This window comes from Homo sapiens, chromosome 3, assembly GCF_000001405.40.
Source record: "Homo sapiens chromosome 3, GRCh38.p14 Primary Assembly".
Classification (NCBI taxonomy): Eukaryota; Metazoa; Chordata; class Mammalia; order Primates; family Hominidae; genus Homo; species Homo sapiens.
The window spans coordinates 52130071-52156255 of NC_000003.12; the positions used below are offsets into that span (position 1 = coordinate 52130071).

Sequence of the window (26185 nt, forward strand, 5' to 3'; positions counted from 1 at the left end):
CCCCTGTATGCCTGAACTCTGACTGCATGCCCACAACAGCTATGCTGGCAAACCCACCACCACCTCTCACGCGTTGCAAAATATTTTGTGTTGACTCTCATATGCACAGTCTTCCAGTGAACAAATAGGATTGTCACACCACATGCCCCTCAGTCAGAGGGAAAAGCAGAGTGGCCATCACACAGAGAATGGGACTGAGGAGGCCCAACAGGCCTCTGGGGTGAGTGCTGTGGTCTCCAGCCCCTGTGCTCAGACAGAGAGACAACAATCCAACCCACTGGGATGCTTCTTCCAGAGCCCCACCAGGAGGCTCCTGCACTCACTTACCAGGGTCTGCTGTGAACTGGGCTCTCATGGCTGAGTGGGGCCCATAGGAGGCCATCATAACTCCACAGACGGGGAGTGACCTCCTGACCCTGGCCGAAGACACCTGCTCCCAGCCCTCAACTCTGGGCTGCTGGCAGGGGACAGAGGGCCAGGCCAACTTCTTAGTTTCTTAGTGTGAAATAAATGAGCCGTTCTCTCTCTGCATGTCCTCTCACCTCTCACAGGAGGTGCCCGACCACCCAAGCCAGGTGTGACCCTCCTGAGCATCAAAACAGTCCTCCAAAATGCCTAGACAGGAGCTACAGAGCTCTCACAGAAACAAGGGAGGGGTGGCCCACTCCCAGAGCTGCCCTCCACCTGGGGTGGACAGAGGGATGGCCCACTGGCCCAGCCACTGTCACACAGTCGCCTCCCCTGCTTGAAGGTGCATCCCCTTTGCTGCTGCTATCCCAACCTCAACCTAGGGCCCAGCATGGCGCAAGCACCCCATAAGCATCAGTGGGTCTCCTACTCTGAGCCTGCAAGTTCCCACCAACTAAGTCTCAAAGCATAGCCCTGAGCACAGACAGCAGCGCCTGTGCAGGTCTGGGTCCAGGGCAGGGGCTGCTCACCCACACGGGGTCGGGGGGAGGGTGGCGGGGGCGCATGGCACCGTGTGCAGCTCAGTCACTCTACAGCGACATGCACACCAACTGCACAGCCACAAATACCAGATTTAACTCCCCACCCACAACCCGCCCACCATCCTCTCCCAAATAGCTCTAGAGAACTTAAACCAAGTAAGTGTGGCTCAAGATTATGTTTCAGAAAATACAGAAAGATAAATCTGTATTTCTAGCACACTGCCCCCCACGCTTGCCACACATGGGGCTGTGAGGGCCTCACACGGGGCCTGAGGCTCTGAACAACCGTGGTAGTTGGTAGGGAAGCCCTTCCCTCTCCTGACCAGTGTTCCCTTCTATAAAATGAGGGGGTGAGATGGGATCATGAGCCTCCATTGCAGCTCTGACAACCCAAGTCTGTATGACATCCAGTGAGAGGCAGGGACTCCCTTTCCTCCTGCTTAACGTCACAGTTGTGTCACACCCCCTGACCAAGACTTTCCAGAGCCTCAAATAGGGCACTGGCACCAGTGCCACCACGCGGGTCTCCTGATCCACCAGCCATCCTCCAGGAGTCAGGCCCTTGAGATGACTGGAAGGACAGGCCTGACAAAGGGCAGTGCACATGGACATGTACACCAAGGCACCCGGCAAAGCAAACCCACGAGGGCAGCTGGTGGGGACACGAGTCTGGGTCGGGGAGTCTCCCCAGCCCCCAACCAGGGGACAGATTCCATGAGCTGTGTGACAAGAGAAGCCAAAGCAAAATGTTCTGGGGGAGACAACAACCCTAAGCAAAAGTAAAAGGCAGATGAACCCCTGAGAGATTCCGAAGGTGCACAGGAGAGGAAACGCGCGCCTCCAACCCTGGGGCAGAGGCCACAGCCCCATGCCAGAAATGGGGTGGCTAAGGCACCAGACACCCCCATGGACCCGTTTTTCTAACAAATGGACTGCCCACCCACTCAGCATCACCAGGACCATGTCCACAACAGAAACTTCTAATGCCCTTTTAAAGAGCTCTCACCTAAAACGGCATGACATCATTTTCCATGAGCTCAAGTGGAAAGGGATTAATATCTATGAGGACCTACTGTGTCCGGTGCTGGGAAATTTAGACACATCCTCTCCTACCATGAGGCAGACAATGGGATGTCAGTCTCACAGATAAGAAAAGAGACTCAGCAAAGTCAAGGTCTTGCCCAATGTCACATAAAAAGAGGCAACACTGGAATCATCTGACCCAGTGCCCAAGCCCATTCCTCCTCCCCTCCTGAAGCTCAGGCTGTTTCAGATGAACAAGATGGGAGAGGACCCATGGTTTTTCAAAACCAGAAATGGGTGGGTACAAACTGTTTGTTCCTAAAAATACTGGGGTTTTCCTGAGAAAGCTAAGTATCATCCCCCACCAGACAAGGCTGTGTAACCTCCCCAGCTGAACATATCCCAGCACTTGGCCTCAATCAAAGATGTTTGCAAAGGTGACCCATACAGGCTCTGGTGTTCCCAGGGCAAAGGCTGTGGAAGGAGGGCAATGCACCATAACCTGCAGGCAGCACCTCCCACATCTGTCCACTCTCCTCTCAGGATGGGCAGATTTGAGAGGCAGAGGGCCCTTTATCACCCAGAGTCCCCAAGCCAGGACTGCAGGAGAGAAGCACCAGAATTCTTCAGGGCCACAATAAACTTGTAACCAACATCCACCCCTGCTATGGTGTGAATGTTTTTGTCCCCAACAAAATTGATACTGAAATTGAATCCCCAGCCAGGCGTGGTGGCTCACGCCTGTAATCCCAGCACTTTGGGAGACCAAGGAAGGCAGATCACTTGAGGTCAGGAGTTCGAGACCAGCCTGGCCAACATGGTGAAACCCTGTCTCTACTAAAAACGCAAAAAATTAGCCGGGCATGGTGGCGTGCACGTGTAATCCCAACTACTCGGGAGGCTGAGGTGGGAGGATTGTTTGAACCTGGGAGACGGAGGTTGCAGTGAGCCGAGTTCACGCCACTGCACTCCAGCCTGGGCAACAGAGTGAGACTCCATCTCAAAAAAAAAAAAGAAAGAAAGAAATTGAATCCCCAAGGTAACAGTGTTGGGAGGTGTGGCCTTTGGGAAGTGATTGAGTCACAAGGGCTCCGCCCTCATGAAGGGGATTAGGTGCACTTATGAAAGGGCTTGACAAAGGGAGTTTGGTCCTTTCCGCCCTTCCACCTTCTGCATGTGAGGACAGTGTTACTCCCCTCAGAGGATGCAGCATTCAAGCCCCATCTCGGAAGCAGAGGGCAGCCTTCCCCAACGCTAGTACCTTGATCTGGGACTTCCAGCATCTGGAACTGAGAAATAACTTTCTGTTCTTGATAAGTTACCCAGTCTCCGGTATTTTATTACAACAGCACAGAACAGACTAAGATAACCCCTTACTCTCACAAAATGAGCCTGCGCAAACAAAAGGCCTCTCAAATGGGCCGATGTGTGCCACTCATGTGCCAGAGAGCTACCAAACCACCCGCACGCTGACTCCTGGCTGATAACCTGCCCTCAACACCAGCACACAGGTCCAGCCCAGGAGACCCAGGGCTACACTGGGTGATACTCATCTTAGCTGGCACTTGGCAAGTCCCTCTGTCCTGGCGCTCCTTGTACCTTAGGAGACAACTGAAAGGTAAATCAGGGTGAGTTTGGCCTCAACTCAGACAATAGAGTTGCAGCCCAACAGCACTGCACCCTGACCCTCCTTTTTCTACCCCAAACCTCCCCCACGGTTTCCCCAGAGGGCTTGCTGGGGCCCTTCTCCTGGCACCCGCAGAGCCCCCATGCCCAGGTCAAGGTCTGCCTCATCCCACAGCAGCTCCCTGTGGCTGACCTCACTGCTGCTCACCCCCAGCCTGCACTGTCCACTTCTCAGATGCAGAAATGGAAGCTGTCCCACTGGCCCTAAGATGCAGTAGCCCTCTCTCTCGCAGCTCTCCCAAGCCATCTCTGAGGACACAGCAGGTCCCCTGCGTCCAAACCAAAGTTTCATGGGGCTCCCTTCTGTTGGATCAGAATGGGGTCATGTAGCAGCAAGATGGGGACACAAGCCGACATAAGCCTGCTGGTACCCTACCTAGACCTGTGAGCTAAACACAAGAGTGACATCCGTGGGAGTTACATGGATCTCATGAAGATGGAGTAGAGTGGTGGTTACCAGGGCTGGGATGGGGAAGGGGAGCCAGGGAATGAAGGGGTTAAAAAAAAGAGAATATAAATGTATTTATTACCACTGAACTGTACATTTAAAAATGGTAAAGATGGTGAATTATACACATATGTTACCCCAGTAAAGATAAATAAGTAAATAAAAACAAGAAGGCTGGATGCAGTGGCTCAGGCCTCTAATTCCAGCACTTTGGGAGGCTGAGGCAGGTGGATCACCTGAGGTCAGGAGTTTGAGACCAGCCTGGCCAACACGGTGAAACCCCGTCTCTACTAAAAATACAAAAATTAGCCGGGTGTGGTGGCGGGTGCCTGTAATCCCAGCTACTAGGGAGGCTGAGGCAGGAGAATCGCTTGAACCCAGGAGATGGAGGTTGCAGTGAGCTGAGATCGCACCACTGCACTCCAGCCTGGGCGACAGGGCGAAACTGTCTCTGAATGAATGAATGAAAGAAACAAGAGTGAAATTACAAATAGAATTTTAAAAGTCACATGTACATGTGATAGAAACTGCATAGACACAGGTACTTGTCCCAGCTCTGGCACACTAGAAGTCATAAGACCCCCTACTAATCCAGACTGCTCTCATTTTCACCACCTGGACTCAAAAAAAAAAAAAAAAAATGCTTTCCAATCTGCCATCCTCCTTATCCATAGGACAGAAGCCCCAGGCACCCAAGACCCACTCAGGAGCCCCAGGCTGCTCAGCCACACAATTCAGGAAGTGGCTGATAGCAGCTGCGCTCCATCAGGCCCTTGGCCACCAGGACCCCACCACATCGCCACCTCCCAGAACAGAATGTGAAAGATGAAGTCACCAAAGAACCAGCTGCACATCTTCCTCGAAGGTCTGAGTGAGTGGGAGCCCATGAGGACTCTATACCTGCTGCAGAGTGCCCAGGCAGAACCCAGCCCCTTTGTCAGCAGGCCCCTGTGATGTGGCCTCCAGCCAGGCCCTCATCAGTAATGAACATCCTCGGAACCAGTTGGGTGACAACACAGGCCCAGCCCCTACGGATTTCTACCCCCAGCTGGAGCAAAGCCACCTCTGATCCTAGCCACAGATCTCCATAAGCACTAGGTATTCTGTCCAGCCAGTGGACCCCGTATCTTAACCAAATGCCCAAATTAAGGCTCCTCGATTGCACTATGCTCCCTTGGGAAGCCAACATTAGCTGAATCTGTTTTTTGGGGGGTTTTCTGTTTTGAGACAGTGTCTTGCTTTGTCACCCAGGCTGGAGTACAGTGGCACAATCACAGATCACTGCAGCCCCAGCTTCCCAGGCTCAAGCAATCTTCCCACTTCAGCCTCCCCCGAAAGTGCTGGGATGACAGGAGTGAGCTACCACACCTGGCCCATTAGCTGATTCTGAATCACTCCAAATCCAGGGGCAGAGCTAAGCATGACAAGGAGCCACAGCAAACGCTGGCAGACCTGGGTCCCAGGGGTGCCAGGCTGTGGTATGGAGGTGAGCTGGTCTTTGCTGGAAGTAAGTAAGGCCTTCTCCTGGGCATCCCTGCCCCATACGTACTCACACACTCACACCCCTACCTCAGCCCTCAGCCTGGCTCTTCAATCATGCTGCTGCACATCATTAGTAAGGACCCCAAAAGAAAGCCCTCTCAAGGCAGCAACCCCACAGTGCAGGTGGGAGGGGCGCAGGAATCAGGCCAGGTTTGTCCACATCGGGACCTTTCAACCCAGGCCAGCTGTAGAACCCGGTATTGACTTGCCACCACCAGTTGGAGTGCATGGTTGGTCTCACCATGGGTCTTAAAGAGGAGGGATGGGAGAGAATCAGCCTCTAGAAAGGAGCAAGGATTAAAGTAAGTGCAGAGGTGGGGAAAGAGGGTGACCCTGGGCAATTTGTCTTCCTGAATCAGTTTGCAGAACCCTGAGCAAGCCAGGCCCAGGGGTTCCTACACCTGGATACCTGGAGTACCCCACAGAGGGGCTGGGTGTCGTCGGTATCCCAGGACAAAGAACCCTTAAAACTTGTGGTAAATCAATCCTAAGTTCCTGTATTTGATAGGGAGTTTAGGGGGCTGGGAGAAGAAAATAATTTGAGCCTCACACGCTGACTCCCACCTTCATCTGAGCTGTACCCTGGGAGATGGGCAGGGCCTACCCACCTTCACCTGCCCTCCAAGTACTCTCTAAGACTCAGTCTACCTCTCAGCCAGCCTAACTCGTCTCATGCTGCCTTCAGCTCTGTCAGCCTCCCTGTGGAGTCCCCCTCTTCCCAGGCCAGGAAGCCCAGGAAGTAGAGCTATAACATCCATTTCCTATCCCTGGTGCCCAGCCCCGTGAGCTAGAGAGCCGATGATGAATGAACAAACAGACAGATGGCAAAATGAACAGAGGTCGTTGGTTCGTTTCTCTTCTTCTCCTTTCCTCTGGGCATTGTGAGCCTGGTGCCCTGAAGAAGAAATGACCCAGCCCTATCCACACCCCAAACCATCAGCTGTCCCTTGGCCTGGTTCCCATATCTCTAGATTTAATAGCAGACAAGTGACCACACAAGGCAATGCGCCATGGTCCTTGCTTCACTTCCCGGAGAGAACAATGTCAATAGCTTTCGTTTATGTGCCAGATGCGATGCCAGAACACCGGGAATGACATTTTAGATCCCACATTCAAGTGTTTTCAGGCTAAGCGTGAGTTAGCTGTTTAAAGAACACTCACAAAAAGAGGTGATCACTTGATAGGCATCTGTTTCAAACTGTTTCTGAGTTTTGTTTTGTTTTTTTTAGGGGAGCAGGAGCGGTAGCAGCATTCACATGATTTTCAAATGCCCTCCTGGGCATAAGATCCCAAACGGTTACACATGAATCTGTATAACTTGCTTGTCCAGGGGCTTGGCTTGTGAACAGGCTTACACCAGGGCCAGCAGCCACCCCCTCTGGATGTGCTGGCCCAGGGAGAACAGGCCCACTAGTCCTGCACACTGGATATGTCTCTGACAGGGAAGGCAAGGGGTCACAACAAGGCTGGGGGCAGCAAGCAGCCTCCAGACCTTGAGGAAGTAGAAGAAAAGGCCTATGTCCCCATCCCCTAGTCATAGCCAAATGGCCCCCAGGTACCCTAACTCAGATGGCAGTGGAAACCCAAACAACAGCTCAGAAAACACCAGGCTAGACACCTCAGACTTAGCTGATAGTCCAAGACACATAAGCACCCCCAGGGCCTCCCTCAGCATGGCAGGCAGATTAGAGACAGACTTGAATTCAATGGACTCCAGACCTCCCATCTCAAGTGGGCATGGTGACTACGCCCCAACAGGAGACATTCTGACGACCGCTCTGATCAGGAGGGCTCGGACACTACTTCCTAGTGGAAGTACTAGATGTGAAAGGCCCGGACCCAGGCCAGTTCCTGGGGAGAACTGCATGTGGCCTACTTCCCACAGCCGGCCCCCAGGGACCCAGCCCACCCAGGGAGACCAGGGAACCGGCTGCTTTGAAGCTCATTCAGAAAGGAGGCCTTTGCTTCCTTGATTCCATTCCAGGAATTCTCAAACGACAAACATGAAGAAGACTTCCCTTCTTTGTCCCAGCCTCTGCAAGACACCTGAGGTTGCCTCAGTCTCTAGACACACTGATGTCTGCCAGTCCGAGGGCCTCCAGGAAACCCTGATGTCAACTCAGAGCATGGGTTCCAAGGCTCAACTCAACCTCTGGACCAAGGGATGGCTGAGGCCATTAGGGGACAGATTCCATTCAGGCCCCTAAGGGGCGGCTTGCTAACCATGCCCAGATGCAGCCCCCAACCCTTGCCCAATTCAACTCTTATATACCCTTCTCAGCTGCACCAGTCCCAGGCCCAGCAATCTGCCCAGGTCACATGGAAATGCCTCCATCCATCTCCCTGCAGGCTGTGTGGGTGACAAGCCTGTTTCTGCATCTTGCCCACTGCCCAGACAGTGAAGGTACCACCACTCCACACCACTCAGCACCTGGCCGACACCTCTCACCTGATGCCCGTGGAGTGTGTAGAGCAGCCGGCCCTCCATCAGGTCCAGGATCTTCAGGGTTGAGTCACTGGAGGCTGTGATCAGGTAGTTTCCCGACGGGTGGAAAGAGAGCCCGTTCACTGCTGCACTGTGCACTGGGGGAAGGACATCAGTCAGGTGCTGGCTAGGAGGCACAGGGAGCACAGCTGAAGCCCAAGACGGGCAATCAGGGCCAATCGAGGCTCAGCACAGGCCTGATGGGGCTGGGTCAGGATGGTCATTGCTCAGAAGAGCTGTGGGGAACCCAACAAGGATTTCCCAGGAGAGGGGCACAATCGAAGAACAGGAAAAGGCCTGTTCAGAGCCAAGGGCAGGCAGTGGAAGACAGGCGGACAGAAACAGATGCAAAAACCAGAGGCAGCAGACGATTCCTCCATCCTCTCCCACAGCACCAAGCGGTCAAGCTGGAGCAGAATAGAGTACTCAAACATACAAACATAGCCTTTGGTCTGCCCGATATACTCTTTCTTTAAAGAAACCAATGGAAAACAAAACCCTTCAAATGTCAATACAATGCCACTGCCACACAGGAAGGACGTGTGTGGGGGCAGACGAGCAGAAAGCTAAGACACTCTTAGGAAGCAGTCAGGCCTGCATTCGGACCCCAAGCCTCCTGCCTGGGCTCACCCCATGACGTTTTTTGAGAGACAGAGTCTCACTCTGTCGCCCAGACTGGAGTGCAGTGGTGCGACCTCAGCTCACTGCAGCCTCCGTCTCCTGGGTTCAAGAGATTCTCCTGCCTCAGCCTCCTGAGTAGCTGAGACTACAGGTGTGCCACTACGTCCAGCTGATTTTTGTATTTTTAGTAGAGATGGGGTTTCACCATGTTAACCAGGCTGGTCTCAAACTCCTGACCTCAGATGATCCACCTGCCTCGGCCTCTCAAGGTGCTGAGATTACAGCCGTGAGCCACCACATCCATCCTGAGCAAGCATCTTAACCACATTGAGCCTCAGTTTCTCCATCTGTACCATAGCACCTATGTGTAAGAGGTACTGTGCGGATGCTACTAAGTTAAGCACATGAGGTCTTTGCAGAGTGAGCCATCCAATGCCAACATGGATGTTCCTCTCCTTTGCCCCCTGTGTTCCATGCAACTCAAGGTCCTGCCACTTCACCCACTCAACAGCTTGGCCCTGTCCATGACTCTCTTTTCCCTACCATCTCAGGCTAACCCCACCATCTTTTCTGGTGTCCCTCACTCTCCAAGAGCCGGCCACCCCAGCTCTGTCGATTCCCCCAGCCGTAGAACTTTTTTACCCCTTGTTTCCAATGGGCCTGGGAGACTCTTGCCCTTCCCTTTCCCTGACCTTAAAGCTCATTACTGGAAGCTGCCTTCTCCAGGAAGCCTCCCCTGGCCTCCCAATTAGGGCCACCCCCTTCATTTGTCCTTCCAAAGCAGCACAAGCCTCCCATCGGTTCACTCTTCACATTCACATGCAACTATCTGACTCACATCTGGATCTCCCATGAGACCATGAACTCCATCAGGCAGGGGTGGTAAGTCCCTGGCACCGAGCAGGACTCAGAAAGTGGTTGGTGAGCAGGTGCTTAAGCTGGGTATCCAGAAGCCCCAGCAGGTTACACAACTCTCCCTCAAGGTCAAGAGCATGTTCTAGGTGAAGCTGGGGGCACACCTGGGCAGTCTACGTGGGGACAGAGCAACTCCACAGCCAATGCATGGATCAGCTGTATCACAGCCTCCTAGGGTGCCTTCTGAGGAAAACCCCAGTGTCTTTCTTCCCATTACCAGAGGCCCAATGAGGAAAACCAGTGGGGCTAAAATAACCATGACCCTGCCAAGTCAGAATTGCCACCAACATAAAGGCAGATTCAAAACCAACCGTCATCTTAGCACTGAAAGGCTGTAAGAACCACTACTGGGTTGGTAAACACACCCAACACGAAACGGCCCTCAACAAGGCCCACAGGGTGCACGCAGTCCCTCAGATGCCAGCCCAGCTGATGTGCCGATGTGCCGGGGAGTCTGGATACGTGTTCCCAGGCACACTTAGGGGGAAACAGCCAAGGCTTTACGTAACATGATATTTATATCTCAACAACACCCTCCAAGCGCCAGGATCTCCAGGAGGCAGGCTGGAGAGGGACCAGTGGGGTCTCTGAAGCCAGCTCTTGGAGGCAGAATTCAGAGACCCCCCCACCAGAAAGTCTGCACTGGGATGAAGGCCACCTCCACCCCTCCATGAGCAGAAGCTGCCAGAGGAACAGCCGGTGGCAGGAGGGTGCAGAAGGGAGGGCATGCTCAGGGAGCTCTGGGCTTCCCAGCACCATCAAGGTGGCAGGGTCAGTGTATGGATGCCACACCAGGGGCCCCCACCTGGTCAAGCCCATCCAAGGGAAAGAATCTCTCCCAGAAGAAGGGCAACAGAATCTCCACTCCACATAAATGCCAGGAATACCCAAGCCTGGATAGAAACACCTAGAACCATTTACTCCAGAAGAGGGGCTGGCCTGGCATACCAGGCTTTGGGGGATACCCCAGACACCAGGACCCACCCCACCTTTCCCCACTTGCTCTCCTGCCTCACCTACTGGCCGCACCAGCCTCCACTCTCACTCCTCTTGCCTCTGTGGAGGTGGTGGGGAGCGGGTAGTCTATGGAGGCCTCATCGTAAGAACCACCCCTGCATGAGAGTCTACCACGAAGGCTAGGCTGTCCCATGAGGGCATGAGCCTTCTATCATGATGCCTTGAGCGCCAAATGTCTGAGCATGATCCACTTTTTTTCAAGTCCAAAGCCGCAGGCCTCTTCTTGGCTCCATGGCAGATATCAGTGATGACACATACTGCCACCTGGGTGGCAGCTGTGAGCTTGTGGCTCTTATCCCATCTCCACTCCAAAGAGAGAACTCTGACTCCAGGTCAAAGATACACCAACATCAAACTTCTACAGATCCTCAGGGACCCAGGGATGAGGCCACCACAGCCCCTGCTCCCAAATACCAAGAACTAGTCATGGCTTGTGGGCAGTAGGTGGTCTAAGCAGAGACCTGAGTACACCCACTCCATGCTGCTCTGCCTGTAGAGGCTTGGGCAAACCTAGGCCCACTACCTAACGGGCTGCAAACCAGCCAAGGGCCCAGAGAAAGCCTGGGTGCCCAAGCAGGAGGTTCCTCTCTAGAGGAGACCATGCCAGGGCCAAGCCCCATCCCAACATCCTTCCACAAAAGGACCGCTCATTTTCCCCAGGGTGGTCTCTTGCGATGCGCAACTGATGTTACTAGTGACACGGTGGCTCTGGGTTGACAAGAGGCTTTGGATTCATACCACAAAAGTGCTCTGATACCAGCAGCAAAGGACACCCAAAACACTCCTCTGTGTAAATGCCGTGTAAATGCTCACTTCAGGACAGTGGGAGAGTAGGTTGGCTAGATCAGGTGGGACAGCACCACTGTACCCCAATCAACCCTTTTAGTCTCAAAACACCCAGTACAGGGTACAGGCCTGCCCTGATAGCTGCAACTACTTAAAACCCTCCGGCCGGGCATGGTGACTCACGCCTGTAATCCCAGCACTTTGGGAGGCCGAGGTGGGAGGACTGCTTGAGCTCAGGAGTTCAAGACCAGCCTGGGAAATACAGTGAGACCCCAACCCCATCTCTGAAAGAGAAAAAAAAAAAGACAAAACCCTCCATGACAATGTATCAGGCCAGGCGGGGGTGCAGGGCTGCACTAAAGACCATCGGACAGAGAGCTTGGGACTCTATGAGTTCTAAGCCCTGCTGACAGCCAGCCAAAGAGACCACCTCTCCCAGGGAGCCTGAAGAGTAAATGACTAGAGTCACCGAAGTGCAAGGAACCGAGCGTGAGCCTGTCAACAGAATGCCAGACTCAAAGGCCCTGAGGTGGAGACTCAGACCCATAGCTTTCTAGCTGTGTGACTGTGGGCTGCATGCTCCGCATCTGTGAAATGGAGGGTAGACCTACTTTGCTGGCCACCCAGGCCTGTCACTGGATAATGGACCTGCACGTGCTGTAAGGCACGAAGCACATTACAGGTTCTGGGATGGGGGCTGCTGCTCAGATGCCTGAACAGTCTTAACGTGGGCTCAGAGCATATGGAGCTAACCCACCACCACAGGGATTGGCACTCCCAGGGCTCCACCAGCCCAAATCCTTGCTGAATTGAGAAATCAGAACTGCTCTCTGCAGTGATAGGCCAGAGCCAAGAAACTCCTTACCTAGGAGAGTCAGCCAGCGCAAGACAAATGGCTCCAGCTGCCTCCATAGCCCAAAGCCCCAAGTGGGCTTCAACTCCAACAACCCTAGCAGGAACAGGAAGTGCCCTCATAGAGCACAACTATGGACGGCTGGATGCAGGCAGGCTGGGGCTTGCTAGCCACACACTGCAGTATCATTAACCAAATCCTCTCACAAGAGCCCATCAGCGTCCAACACCCGAAGGCCATTCTGGAAGTGCCTGATGCCCATCCAGAGTCACTAGGGGAGACACTGCACGTCACTGTGTCCGTAGGTTTCCCTTGGGTTTCCTAGGGATCAGGGACAGAAAGCGGATCAGGCATCTGTTGCCAGAGTACTGGGAGCCCTTCCTGGGGAATGAGCCTCCAAAGAGATTCCACTGCACCTATGGGGGTGGGGGAGCCACTTGGGTAGAGGGTTTCCCCCTAGTTTCAGCTAAAGGTTTTCTGGGGAGCCCCAAGACCAGAGCAGACCTGGCCATGTCCTCCCGTCAGCAGAGGATGAGAGGTATGTTCCCCCTACCCAGGGAGCTCAGATCAACCTGGCTCACTGCACCCCTAAGGGTCAGCCTAGAGGCTATGGGATGACTCCGCTATCCTGTGAACACCCACCACTGGCCACGGCATTGAGCAGGGAGCTCAGGGGGAACCGGCTGTGTTTATGGGGTACTCCAAATCCTGCTAAGCCTCCAATCTACACTAGGGGTGGCTTAGGGATGAGACACTGCAGGCCCACTGAGAGGCTGTCATAAGAGGCAAGGCCAGAAGCACAAGCAGACTGCAATCTCCCAGCAGGGCCTGTCAGCCCACACACTCAGCTCCACTCAGGACTCAGCCCCTGGAGCTCATCTGAGTCCATCCACACCTCCCCAACCCTGCCATCATGGAGATCCGCCCCTGCCCTCTGCCAAGCCTGCTCCCTCCAGGTCCCCAGCTCCCTCTCCCCAGTACCCACCGCTCTCCTCGGCTGCTCTGCATTGCTCCACCTCCTGACAACCCTCTTCACAAGACCCCACTCTCCTTCACTCCCCAGCCTCTGCCCTCCTCAGCTCTCCCATGCTTGGAGACGGGGTTCATACCTCTCACTCTGGCTGCTTTGTGGACCTTTATCTTCTGTGGCCCCTCAATTATAGGGGCTCAGAATGTGACCTCAGCCATTCTCACATCCCAGATCCCTGGGTCCAGCTGGCCCCTCCACCCCAACAGGGTCAGCTTCTCTGCTTCTACTCAACCTCTGCAACCCATCCCCCACTCTGATGCCAGCCCCTACTTTGATACCAGGCACAGCTGGACACCTACCCATCACTGGGACACATGGGGCACACCAGCCCCCAACCCCAGCAGGCTCTGGACACCGCTATCCTCTCAGATGTCCTTCTTCCCTTCATACCTTAAATGACGAGGCTAGTCCTAGCACTGCCAATCAGGCCACATCTTTGGGACCCCGAGCCAGAGATGGCATCCAAGGCCCTTCCCAAGGGGTACCTGCTGTTATACCCATGAACACCAGGCCCAGGCTCCTGATCCATCAGAGATGGGTCTGGACCCTCCCAGGGTCACCTAGACATCCTCTCTGCCCAGTGTCAGGACTTATGTAGCACAAACCACATACCTAGCCCTGTGTTATAACCCTTTTGTGGCTTTTCCCATCAGAGCCTCACAAAGCCATGAGGAAGGCCTATTGCCACCCCCTTTACAGAAAGGAACCACAGCATGTGCTCCTGACCACTGTCCTGCCTCGTCGCCTTCCACTCCCATCTCTCCCTGTCCAAGTCCTCCCTCCTCTGCACCTGCCCACGTTCCCCAGGCAGCTGGGCAGATGTGCCCCATCCCCAAGCCCCAGCCCTTCACTCAGGCCTGGCCCAGAGCAGAAGGCTGAAGGAAGGATAGGAAAGATATGGGCTCCAAGTGGAGGCAAGCCCCACTGCTCTTCTGTTCCAGAAGCCTCTGTCTGAAAGAGCATTGGTAACAAACCTCAGGGCTTCCTATGGAGGGGGGTGGGGTGGGGGAACAGGTTCTTGTGGCTGGCCCCTGCCACCTGGTGGTGCTGTAGGGTACTACAGGCCTTAACCAACCAGGTTGGCCTCACCAGCCCAGACAGGACCAAGACAGTGTCATTGTCATCATCACTAACATTGTACCTCCTTCCCCCCATTTTGTGCCAGCCACCCTCTCAATTCTTGATATGAAACAACTCATTAAACCTCCCAACACCTCCTGTGAGACAGGCCCCATCATTGTCCCAGAGGCCCCACAGAGTCAAATGACCTGCCCAATATCACACAGCCAGGAATGCTTTAAAAGCCAGCTGCAGAGCCCACTCTCCACCATGTGCTGTTCAAGATTAGGATCTTCTCCCCATTCTGGGAAGGTGTGCTCACCTCTGTTACCCCAAAGAAAGTGCTGTACTTGAACACCAGGAGTCAGCTAGGAAGGGTGTGTGTGTGTCAGGGGTGGGTGGGGTCGGAACCCCACACCTGTGTCCAGCCATGTCCTTCCCATTTCAGGTGTGGCTTAAGGAAGCGAGCCCAAGAACTTTAAGCTTAGTCCCAGGTTAACAACCACGGTTCTTCAAACAACTCCAGCTCTGCCTCCTTCCTGGTCTCGGCCCTGGTCCAGTCTTGCTCATCTCTGTTTTGCCAGCTACACAATTCCCAGTTTCTCCAATGACCCCTCACCAGCTCCCTTCCCTGAGCCCATCCCTGGAACTGGGGCGCCTCATGGCCCTGCCCACTCATACTTGCTCTCAGGCCAGTTCCCTACCCAGTACTCTCAGCGAACTCATCCTGGGCATGTCTAAGTCTGCCCTCGCCCTCCAACTCCCACCTGGAGCCTGACATGAGCCCATGCCCACTGCCCGCCACCCTGCCTTCCAAGGGCTACCATCCTGGGCCTGGCCCCTAGCTAAGTCAACCCTCCCTATGACTCTACATCTGCGGAGGACACTGTAAGACCAGAGGTGGCCACGGTCCCACCAATGCTGGCCTCTACTGACAGCCCTGTTCCCTTTACCACAGGTCAAGGGCTGTCACCTTGGCCCTGGAGGGCAGAGCCTCCATCACCAGGAAAGGCAAGTGGCATGCCCCTGAGAAGTGGTCCTCAAGGGAAGCCCTGACCAGAGCCCCAGTGAGGACTCCCCATCTGGCCCTGCAGTATGTGTGAGATTCTGCCACTTCGGAGGTGAGCATTGACTGGCTCAGTGGAAGCCAGGTAGCACCAGGCTCCATCTCCTGGCCAAGGTTCCAAGCCAGGCCAGCCATGCCACAGACTCCCACCCCTGGAATCCCAACAAACCCAGGACACCTTCCTGCCCAAGGCCATCTCAGACCCATTTAAGCACTACAGCACAGGACAACATCCAACACCATCACAGTCCCACCAGGGCTGCCCTTGGGCCCAGGAGGCTGTTCACCACTCACACTGATAATGCTGCAGCAGCCGGTGAGTCCGCACGTCCCACACCTTCACTGTGTTGTCCATGCCGGCAGCGGCAATGCACGTCCCACTGGGGTGGAAGTCCACATAGGTGACAAAGCTGGAAAGACAGGGGCCACTATGCACTATAGGAGGTCTGCCCTGGTTCAGGACGGACCCAGAAACATTTGGTGCTTTCCCCATCCCTGTGTCCTGCCCACGCTGTTCCCTTGACCCAGACACCTCCTTTCTGTCACACTTGTTTACCAGGTGGCCAAGGGAGAGCAAGAAGAAGTAAAAGGTGAGAACAGTGGCCAGCAACAAACTAAGGTGGACTGACCAGGGAGCACATCCCACCGCCAATTTTCAATACAAGTTGAGAGAGCTATCTTCAAACCCAAAAGTTAGCCAGGCTCCCCTGGGATTTTCAAAGTTGGAGCTGGTACCCTTCCCAGGGGTGGCTGCAGGGCAGATCCTGCCAGCTGAGGCACAGGTGGGAAGGTCCAGCAGGACTACAGGGCCATTGGCCCACCCCTTTCTAGGAGACAGGCCAAGGACCCTCACCACACCCATATGTGATACCCAGGCTGGTACCATGTCCACCTCTCAAGGAGAAGCCCTTGTGGCTCCCAGCCCAACAAAGAAGGGCAGAAGCTGGGGTCTCTACTCAAATGTAGGCACCTCTCTCTCCTGATGATGTGGCACAATATGAACAGCCACCATCTGCTACAAGAACCCAACAAGAATTTTGTAAAGCCATCATCATGGATAACATACCAAGAGGCTTTAAAATGTAGTTTGGGCGACTGAGTGTCAACTGCTGCCAGACAGACATGTTGTAATCCTGACAACCAGAAAGTGAAGGAGAAAAAGAGGAGCACAAATAATTACACAGCTCCAAAGAATTGCATGGCTTGAGGTTAAGCACTCCTGCTATTTGTGGGATGGGGCCAAAGCTTCCATCCACACAGCAAAAGATACAATGCTAGGTTGCCAGACCTCGCAAAAAGCACCAGACAAGGGGCAGCAGTGATAAGGCTGCTGGTCCCACGGCTCCAGCCACTGAAGGCCACTGGGCCTCCTCATGCCCAGGTCTGTGCTCTGTGCTTGAGCGCCTACAGGTGGAGGACAGCATCTGGGGACTCACCCGCCATGCTCACAATACGAGTGGACACATTCCCGGCTGCTCTTGTCCCACAGCTTAACAGTCTTGTCATCACTGGCAGACACGATGAGCCGCCCGTCGGGGGAGAACCTGAACCGGGTGGGGCACAAGTCACATCACAGACTAACAGACGACATGGGCACCACACACCTTCTTCCACAGCCACTCTTCCCCGAGTGCCTACTATCTGCCTGCAGGAACCACCCGGGGTCACATGCCCTGCTGTGATTTTTTTTTTTTTAATTTGAATACCCTAATTTGTCTTTTCAGGAACAAATGCATTGCATCCTAGGAGGCAATGTTACTTCTGTTTATTTGGTCATATCTTAAATTATACTTTGTTTCTGAAAATAGTTAACTTTTAGCACATCATTTTTCTTTTTTCCTTCTGAAGAGTTTTTCAGGAAACTGTGACTAAATTTTGTTTTTGTTTTTGTTTTGTTTTTTAGACAGGGTATTGCTCTGTCACCCAGGCTGGAGTGCAGTGGTGTGATCTCAGCTCACTGCAGCCTCTACCTCCTGGGCTCAAGAGATCCTCCCACCTAAGCCTCCTGAGCAGCTGGGACTACAGGCGTGCACCACCACACCCAGCTAATTTTATTTTATTTTATTTTATTGTAGAGATGGGAGTCTCACTATGTTGCCCAGGCTGGTCCTCTAACTCCTGGAGTCAAAGGATCCTCCCACCTCATCCACCCAAAGTGCTAGGATTACAGACATGCACCTTCAAGCTCGGCCTATGACTTAATTTTAAATGTTATAAAAATGTTTCCTTTATTTTTTTCTTCCTGAATCTGTGAAACTTATTGATCTTTCCTGTTGCTCTTGTTTTCGTTTTCTTACGTAGCTTCATGAGCAAATAGCCCCTCTCCCATCCCAACAGCAAACTCTGACCAAAAGGGAAAAAGAGAAATTCTTCCTGACTTAGAGGAAAACCAAACATAAATAAACAAAAAGAAAAGAAAAAAAAAAAGGTGCCTGCCTCACGAGTGAGCACAGAGCAGCCTCATGCACATAAAGCCCCAGCACTGCCCCTGACGCACAGCACATGGCAACATGCAGCCGACTGCCTGCCGGCAACATTTGCATAAAGGTGGCCAAAAGCTCACCATCAGTGTCATTACTCTGGGACCAGGTCCTCCGAGTCTACATTTGACTCAAGTGCGGGTCAGCAAGACACAATCTGCCAACAAAAGGCATGAGGTCCTGGGGACTGCCACCAAAGGCCCAGTATGGACTTGACACCCCAGTTTGCTGGCCTGGCCCCTCCTGATCTCAGGACCCTAGTCATAAAGCCTCTAAGAGCCATCAGGGGTCTCCCAGGACAAAGGAATGGGGGTGCCCTGGAGAACAGTAACTTGTATGGGGTCCCCAGAAGAACACAGCTCAATAGTCCCCAACTTCTGACTCATGTGGTTTCCTAATGTCACCTGGCACCCCAACCCCTTCCTCTGAAGCAAAGATATTTGACCCATGGGGAAGCTCTGTTGAAAGGAATGAAATAAGCTAGAAGTAGGACTATCTGTCTGCAATTCTTGGACCTTGAAAGGTCCTTTGGGTTACCTGGCCCGCTGTCTGCACAGCACTGGCTCCCTGGCCAGCAGGAAGGCTAGCCTCCAGGCTAAGCCCCCCATCTCCGAAGCCTGCGCCCCCATCTGGGAGCTCTGGAGCAAAATCATCCCCTGAGAACATCCCAGAGGAAAGTAGGCAAGCCTTACTGTCAGAGAGAGTTGGGTTCAAACTCCAGCTCTGCCACAGACCCACCGTGTGCTCTGGGACAAGATACTACTGTTCTGAGCCCCCATTTCCTCATCTGCAAAATGGAAATGCACCTAGCTTGCAGAACTGTCTTAAGGAACAAAAAGAAAATGTGTAATGGTAGTACTGAAAGTACCTAATTGTTTTTGATAATAAATGGCCCCTGTTGACCCAGTTTGTGCTTTGCCAACACAGATGTCAGAGGGTCATCATGGCTGACTATGGACTAACTTACATGTCATGCATCAGCTCCATGAAGCTTCTCGACAACTTACAATGCAGGAGCTATTATTGTTCCATTTTACAGATAAGGAAACCGAGGCTGAGGAAGCTTAAACAATGCCTAAGTAACTTGCCCGAGGTCATAAGTTGGTACCTAGCAGCCCCTGGGCCAGCCCCCAACCCCCAGGGTTCCTCCAAGGGTCTCCAGACAGAACAATGCTCACTTGGCACAGCGGACCCAGTTGATATGCTGGCTCAGGGAGAACAGGAATTTCTGGCGATGAGTTGCCCACACTTTGACTGTCTTGTCGTCAGAGGCTGTCACGAAGGACTGGCCATCACTGCAGAAGTGGACACTCCTCACTGTGGCTGTGTGTGCACGAAACACAGTGGACTCACCTTTGCTACAAGGACAGGCATCCAAGAGTAAGGAAACCCATAACAGTGACATGAGAGCCCACAAGCACATCAAAGCTCTCCTACTCCTCAAGCACCCCTCCCAAAGTCAGTCAAGCCCGAGTACCCCAGTCTCCACAAGGGAAAGCCAGAGCCTCTCCTATATGAACAGAGCACCATCTCTAGGCCCCACCCACATGAACACAGCATCAGGTGGCATTTCTTTAGGGATAGATTGGGTAAGCCCAGAACTCCTCTTCCAACCCTGAGGGGAGGGCTCCAACTGCAGCCCCAGCCTCTGATGGCACCTCTTCCAAAGCAGAGTAGAAGTCCCACTGTGACCAGTCCAGAGCCAAGCTAGGGGACCTGGGTGGGGATGGCTCTGGCACCAGGGCCCCAGACTCCAACAAGCCTCCTCAAAGTGTACGACTCACACATTGGGTACCCAGATGCGGACAGTCTTGTCTCGGGAGCCGGAAGCAAGCAGGTGTCCCGAAGGAGAGAAGTTCACACAGGTGACGGCATCCTTGTGGCCAGTGAAGCGGTAGGCGCGTGACTGCGGCTTCATGTGCCAGACCATGAGGCATGAGTCCATGGAGCCACTGGCTGAGGACAGTGGGTGATGCTATGACCTACAGCTCTAACAGGCTTCAAGCCTCCACCAAGACATTGGAGAGGCAGGGGGAGCAACTGGCCCAGCTCCATCTTCCCTGGCATCCACAAACAGACCGTGAGAAGTCTCCCATGGAGCAGAGCACATCTCGAGGTATGGTCTGGAGGTGGAGAGCCTGTGGCCCAGAGTTCTCCAAGGAGCACACCCACATGGGAATAAGACCGAGGCCCTTCCCATGCTAGCCTTGGACTGCAATCCAGAGCTCTGGGAAAACTCATTCCCATGGGGCCCAGGGTCTCCCCCCAGACACATCCTGAGGGCACCAGAGAGCAAGTCCTCCCCAGCTGGGAAGCCAGCCCCTCCCATTGAGAGGGCCCAACTCAGTATGAAGCCTAAAGGAGGTCCCCAAAACTGATCAAAAATCACTTCAGTTCCCTCTTAACCTTTACACATCAGAGGGTCTTGATGACAGGATGAAGGGGCAAGCCTCCTCTGCAGGAACCAGAAAGCGCAGTCATAAAAGCTGTGTACGAAACCTCATGCAACCAAGGAAGGGGGACAGTCAGCTGCAGCATAAGAGCAGTGGGGTCGAGGGGGGTGCCCATCTCTGCTCAACAGCCTTCTCACTGACAAGGCTCTTCAACAAGGTGTGCCTTATTACTGTGGGCAACAGAATCAGTAAAGCTTCAAGGAAAAGGAGTCACTGTTTAGGGCCCACACCAAAAGACAGACCCAAAAGGTGGCTAGGGTGTGCAGAAAAGACCCAGATCCCAGTCCCACCCTCAAAAGCTCTGTGGCCTTAGCAAGGCCCCTAACCTCTCTGACCCTCAGGCTCTGCATGTAAAATGAAGCTCATGAAGCCCAGTGCCCAAAGAGCTGGCAAGCAGAAGCAAGACTAGAAGCAGGTCTAGACAAAGCTGTGCAGTCCTTGTGCTCTGCTTCCCACCCACCACCCCTCCGAGGTAAAAACTTGGCCTGTTCAGCTCATAACCTAGCACCTAGACAGGGTGCCTCTTCTTACCCAGCTGCTTTGTGTTGATACTGAAGTCCACACAGGTAACTGCATCTCGGTGGCCCTTAAAATGCCTTTCCAGCGAGGGGTCCTCCTGAGAGAGAGCCAGGGTCAAATGTGTGAAGCCTGGGTGAGGAAGGGGCTTCCCCAGGGCCAGCACTCTTCCTACAACAGCCGGGGGAGTAGGGTTAAAAATGCTCAAGGCATGATCTTATATAAAGAAAATCCTAAGGAATCCACTTAGGATTAGTTTTTACTAGGAATAGTTTTTACTATTTGAATTAATACATCAACTGTGGAAATGCTTCAACAAAAACAAAAAACAAATGAGTTCAGCAAAGTTGCAAGATACAAAATCAAGACACAAAAATCAATTGTCTTTCTGTACACTAGCAATGAATAATCCAAAAAATAAAACTATTTATGATACATAAAAAAAATAGCAATATTTTAAATTAGCCGGGCATGGTGGCAGGCGCCTATAATCCCAGTTACTCAGGAGGCTGACGCAGGAGAATGGTGTGAACCCAGGAGGCGGAGCTTGCAGTGAGCAGAGATTGTGCCACTGCACTCCAGCCTGGGTGACAGAGCGAGACTCCGTCTCAAAAAAAAAAAAAAAAAAAGGAATAATTTAACAAAAGAAGTGCAGGACTTGTACAGTAAAGACGACAAAACATCACTAAGAGAAATGAAAGAAGACTTAAAAAATGGAAAGACATTCCACATTCATGAACAGGAAGACTTACTATTGTTAAGATACAATACTACGATACTCCTCAGATTGATCTACCGATTCCACATAATTCCTATCAAAATCCCAGGTGTCTTTTTTGCAGAAACTGACAAGCTGCTCCCAAGATTCACATGAAAATGCAAGACACCCAGAAAAAAAAAAAAATCTTTAAAAACAAACAAACAAACGAACAAACAAAAAACACAGATACTATAGAAAGTAATTTGGCAGTTCCTCAAAAAGTTAAACATAGGTCAGGTGAAGTGGCTCACACCTGTAATCCCCACATTTTGGGAGGCTGAGGCAGGAGGATCACTTTAAGCCAGGGGTTCAAGACCAACCTGGGCAACACAGCAAGACCCTGACCCTACAAAAAAATTAAAGAATTAGCCACACGTAGTGGCTCATGCCTGTATTCTCAGCTACTCAGGAGGGTGAGGTGGGAGGACTGCTTGAGCACAGGAGTTCAAGGTTGCAGTGAGCTGTGATCACATCACTGCACTCCAGCCTGGGCAACAGAGCAAGACCCTGACTAAAAAAAAGTAGTTAGCCGGGCACAGTGGCTCACGCCTGTAATCCCAGCACTTTAGGAGGCCAAGGCGGGCAGATTACCTGAGGTCAAGAGTTCAAGATCAGCCTGGCCAACATGGTGAAAACCCCTCTCTACTAAAAATACAAAAATTAGCTAGGCGTGGTGGTGGGCGCCTATAGTCCCAGCTATTTGGGAGGCTAAGGCAGGAGAATCGCTTGAACCCAGGAGGAGGAGGTTGTAGTGAGCCGAGATTGCACCAGTGCACTCCAGCCTGGACGACAGAGTGAGACTCCTAATCAAAAAATAAATAAATAAAATAAATATAAATAAATAAAATAAAAAATAAAGTAGTTAAACGTGGTTAGCAAATGACCCAGCAATTCTAGGTAAATACCCCAAAGAGTTGAAAACATGGTTTACACAAAAACTTGTACACAAATGTTCAGAGCAGCATTTTCCTTAATAGCCAACAAGTGATTGAACCCAAATGATCCATCAACACATGACTGAATAAACCAAATGTAGCATATTCATACAACAGAATATTATTCAGCCATAAAACCGACTGAAGTGCTGATGCTTGCTGCAACATGGATGAACCTTGAAAACATGCTAAGTGAAAGAAGTCAAACACCAAAGGCCACATTTTGTCTGATTCCATTCATATGAAAAGTTCAGAATAGTCAAATCTATAGAGACAGAAAGTATTAATATATTAGTTTGCCAAGGGTTGGGAGAAAATGGGGAAAGAGAAGAAATGGTATGACTGTTATTGAGTATGGAGTTTCTTTTTGGGATGATGAAAATATTCTGGAATTAGTGATTACAGTTGCACAACACTGTGAATGTACTAAAAACTACTGAAATGTACACTTTAAAAGGTGAATTCTGTGGTGTATGAATAACTTAATAAAGTTAAAACACCAGAGAGAATACTCCGGAGACTCTCTCCATCCAATAGCAGCTTGTGTCTTAACACTTGAAGGGTTATAATTCAGCCATCCAAACATCTCCCCCTACTCTAAGTATCAGAAACCTCAAAGAAGCATTTTGGGTGCTCCAGGAAGCCCAAAGGCTCCTCCTGGGAAAGGATGTCCTTGGGGCACAGCAAAGCCACTGCCACCCTACAGAGCAGTAACCAGAACAAAGGCCCTATGGCCTTGTGCCCAGCTCCACCCCTAACGCACCTGTCAGAGTCTCCTTTCAACAACAGAGGGAGGAGCAGCTGGGGGAGGGTCCCCAACAGAGCCTTCTGCTCTCACCTAAGCTTCTTGAAAGAACATGCGTAAGAGAGTGTCCGCCCCTAGGCTCAGTGGGCAGAGGCAAGTTCAGGTCCACCCCTGACCAGTAGGTCCCATGGTATCTCTCAACACCGCCTCCCCTCTGTAGTTCCCTGCATGTGGGCCTCATCTCCCTCAACAGTGGTTTATACATGAGGGGACAGGAAGGGAGGTAGAGTACCAGATTAGGAGTCAAAAGGTCTGTATCCTAGCCTGGAATCTCCGTCCATGTCCTCAAGTGCCTCAGGGCATCACAGGCTACCACCCAGCCTCCCTGACTCTCCAATCAGCCAGAGGGCCTTGCCCGTTCAAAGGAATCTCTCGAAATGAGGACTTCTGGAGGAATGTGAACTCAGAGAGGGCGGCTCCGCCCCGCTCACACTGCAGGCCCGGGCATCCCAGCGTCCTGCTGTACCTACCTGCTGGAGCAGGGTGTACCCTCAACAAGACCCCACGCAGCCACCCACTGCTAAGGACGTGGAGAATGGCTAGAGAGGCCCGATACCGGCCCCAGGTCACACATGAGTCGGGACTTGGTCGTGTGTCCCTCGCTAGGATGCAAACTATGGAGGCAGAGGCCTGTTTGTTCGCTCCAGAAACCCAGCGCAGGGCCTGGCACGCAGGAGGCGCTCAGAAAGTGCCCGACCCAGCGCCCCCTGCGCAGACAGTAAACTGGACCTGAAGAGGACCACCCTGGAACCTGGCGCCCCGCCCGCCCCTCGCAGCCATCGCTCTGGCCATTAGGCGCCCAGTGTCCCAGCGGGGAGACTGAGGCCTGGGGAGTTGCTCTCGGCTGGGCTTACCGCGCAGGGCGCAGCCATGGCGGGGCTGGCGGCGCCGAAGGCAGCTGCGGTGGCCGTTGCGGCCCGTTCAGTTTCCGCGCCCCCAACGGCCACCAATAGCAACGCGGGCCGCGTCGGCACGCCCCGCCCACCGCAATTAAAGGAGAAGCGCCTCAGCTTTTTGCCCGACGACTGGAAGCAGAGCTGTATGACCGGCGGCCGGCGCCACGGTCTCCGTGCCCAGTTCCCCAAGCCCAGACAACCCACAGACAGCGCAGCCAAAAGCCTCTGTCCGCCGCCACTCGTTCCGCCTGAGAAATTAAAAGACCCAGGATGAAGGGTTCACCCCACCAGCCCGTCGTCCGGCTACTCTAACGGCGAGCGCAGCCTCCTGGGAAATGCAGTTCCAAGCCGCCCACGCCCCTATGTCTGGAGGAAGGTGGAGCTACACTTCCCAACATGAGATTGCACCATTGCATTCCAGCCTGGGCAACAAGAGGGCGGGCCGGGTTTTACCACCCGAAGCGACGGCCTTAAGGATCCCGGAAGCGGAGGACACGTGGGTTGCTGTAACCAGATTGCGTTAAAGCACCCGCGCGCGCCGGCGCAGCCAGATTTTCCCCGCAGGAACCTATTGAGAGCTGAGTATTCGCCCCTCGGGAACTCTCAGTGGTTCGCCGTCCGAACGTTCTTAAGACAAGTGTCGATTTAAAATAACATGAGTTACTCGGAATCACAATCATGGAGTGGAGAGATCAAGGTTCGATTCTCAGTTCTCGCCCTGATTGGCTGTGTGATCTCAGGAAAAACGCCTCTGCTCTGTGCCCCGGTTTCCCCATTTGTAACACGAGGGAGTGTGGTGCAGCCCGGCCCTGTCAGGATCCTTAAGGCCTCAGAAGCTGTTAGAAACCCAGTCTTTAAAAGAAGGAGAGGCCGGGCTCAGTGGCTCACGCCTGTAATCTCAGCACTTTGCCACTTTGGGAGGCCGAGGTGGGTGGATCACCTGAGGTCAGGAGTATGAGACCAGCCTGGCCAACATGGTGAAACCCCATGTCTACTAAAAATACAAAAATTAGCCGGGCGTGGTGGCACGCGCCTGTAAACCCAGCTACTCGGGAGGCTGAGGGAGGAGAATTGTTCGAACTCCGGAGGCAGAGATTGCAGTGAGCCTAGATGTTGCCGCTGCACTCCAGCCTGGGCAACAGAGGGAGACTCCGTCTCAAAAAATATATATATATATAAAATAAAATTTGAAGGCCACCAGCAACCATCTGAATAGACTCCCTGCTTGGCCAGGGCACTCAAATTTAACCTGAAAGAGTGGTTCAGGCCATGATGGGAAGTGGGGGTTGGACATGCCTCATTATACCCTCCAGCATTAACATCAACAAAAACCTTAAGTCTGATAAGAAACATTTACGATCTATTTTCTCTGAAACCTGCTACCTGGAGGCTTCATCTGCATGGTAAAACCTTGGTCTCCATAACCCCTTATCTTAACCGAGATATCCCTTTCTACTGATAATAATTATTTCAACCAATTGCCAATCAGAATATGTTTAAATCTACCAATGACCTGGAAGTTTCCCACTTCGAGTTGTCTTGTCCTTCCAGATCAAACCAATGTAAATCTTACATGTATTGATTGATGTATTTTGTCTCCCTAAAATGTATAAAACCATGCTGTGCCCAGGCCACTTGGGCACATGTTGTCAGGACCTCCTGAGGCTGTGTCATGGGTGTGTCCTTAACCTTAGCAAAATAAATTTTCTAAGTTGACTGAGACCTGTCTCAGGTATTTCGGGTTGACAGTTTGGCAACCACGAAAGGATTCTGAGTGGAGGTGCCCCTGACCTTTGACAGATCTCCTATCGGTGCTTGGTACCAGCTTGAGCTATCTTTATGGCTCAAATCTACAGGAC

The 26185-nt window shown here is 52.7% G+C and overlaps 1 protein-coding gene across 13 annotated transcripts in view, besides 3 other annotated features; it reads right to left on the minus strand.

Annotated features, from left to right (window-relative positions):
- Nucleotides 1-24353, minus strand: part of POC1A (POC1 centriolar protein A) — a 79198-nt gene extending 54845 nt beyond the window's left edge. For 6 of the 13 annotated variants that reach the window (XR_007095660.1, XM_011533561.2, XM_011533560.2 and 3 more), the window contains exons 1-7: nt 24285-24353; nt 20946-21030; nt 19746-19917; nt 19140-19319; nt 16918-17025; nt 15776-15891; nt 8099-8232 (exon numbers count right to left, since the gene is read on the minus strand). Coding sequence is in view for 12 of the 13 variants with exons in the window: in XM_011533561.2 (XP_011531863.1) it covers nt 8099-8232; nt 15776-15891; nt 16918-17025; nt 19140-19319; nt 19746-19917; nt 20946-21030; nt 24285-24302 (813 nt within the window). In the remaining variant the exon portion in view is untranslated. Of the gene's footprint in view, nt 1-8098; nt 8233-15775; nt 15892-16917; nt 17026-19139; nt 19320-19745; nt 19918-20945; nt 21102-24284 lie in introns of all 13 variants that reach the window. The other 7 variants (XM_047447908.1, XM_047447907.1, XM_017006104.2 and 4 more) reach the window with 2 other exon arrangements.
- Nucleotides 4991-5040: an enhancer, noted in NCBI's record as "active region_19927". NCBI's record gives its function as "activates an Ori minimal core promoter by ATAC-STARR-seq in GM12878 lymphoblastoid cells {active_cell/tissue: GM12878}" and the evidence as "EXISTENCE:reporter gene assay evidence [ECO:0000049][PMID:35858748]".
- Nucleotides 23746-24723: an enhancer, noted in NCBI's record as "H3K27ac hESC enhancer chr3:52187832-52188809 (GRCh37/hg19 assembly coordinates)". NCBI's record gives its function as "activates a minimal SCP1, AML or CMV promoter by ChIP-STARR-seq in naive H9 embryonic stem cells {active_cell/tissue: H9 hESC(naive)}" and the evidence as "EXISTENCE:reporter gene assay evidence [ECO:0000049][PMID:30033119]".
- Nucleotides 24724-25700: an enhancer, noted in NCBI's record as "H3K27ac hESC enhancer chr3:52188810-52189786 (GRCh37/hg19 assembly coordinates)". NCBI's record gives its function as "activates a minimal SCP1, AML or CMV promoter by ChIP-STARR-seq in naive H9 embryonic stem cells {active_cell/tissue: H9 hESC(naive)}" and the evidence as "EXISTENCE:reporter gene assay evidence [ECO:0000049][PMID:30033119]".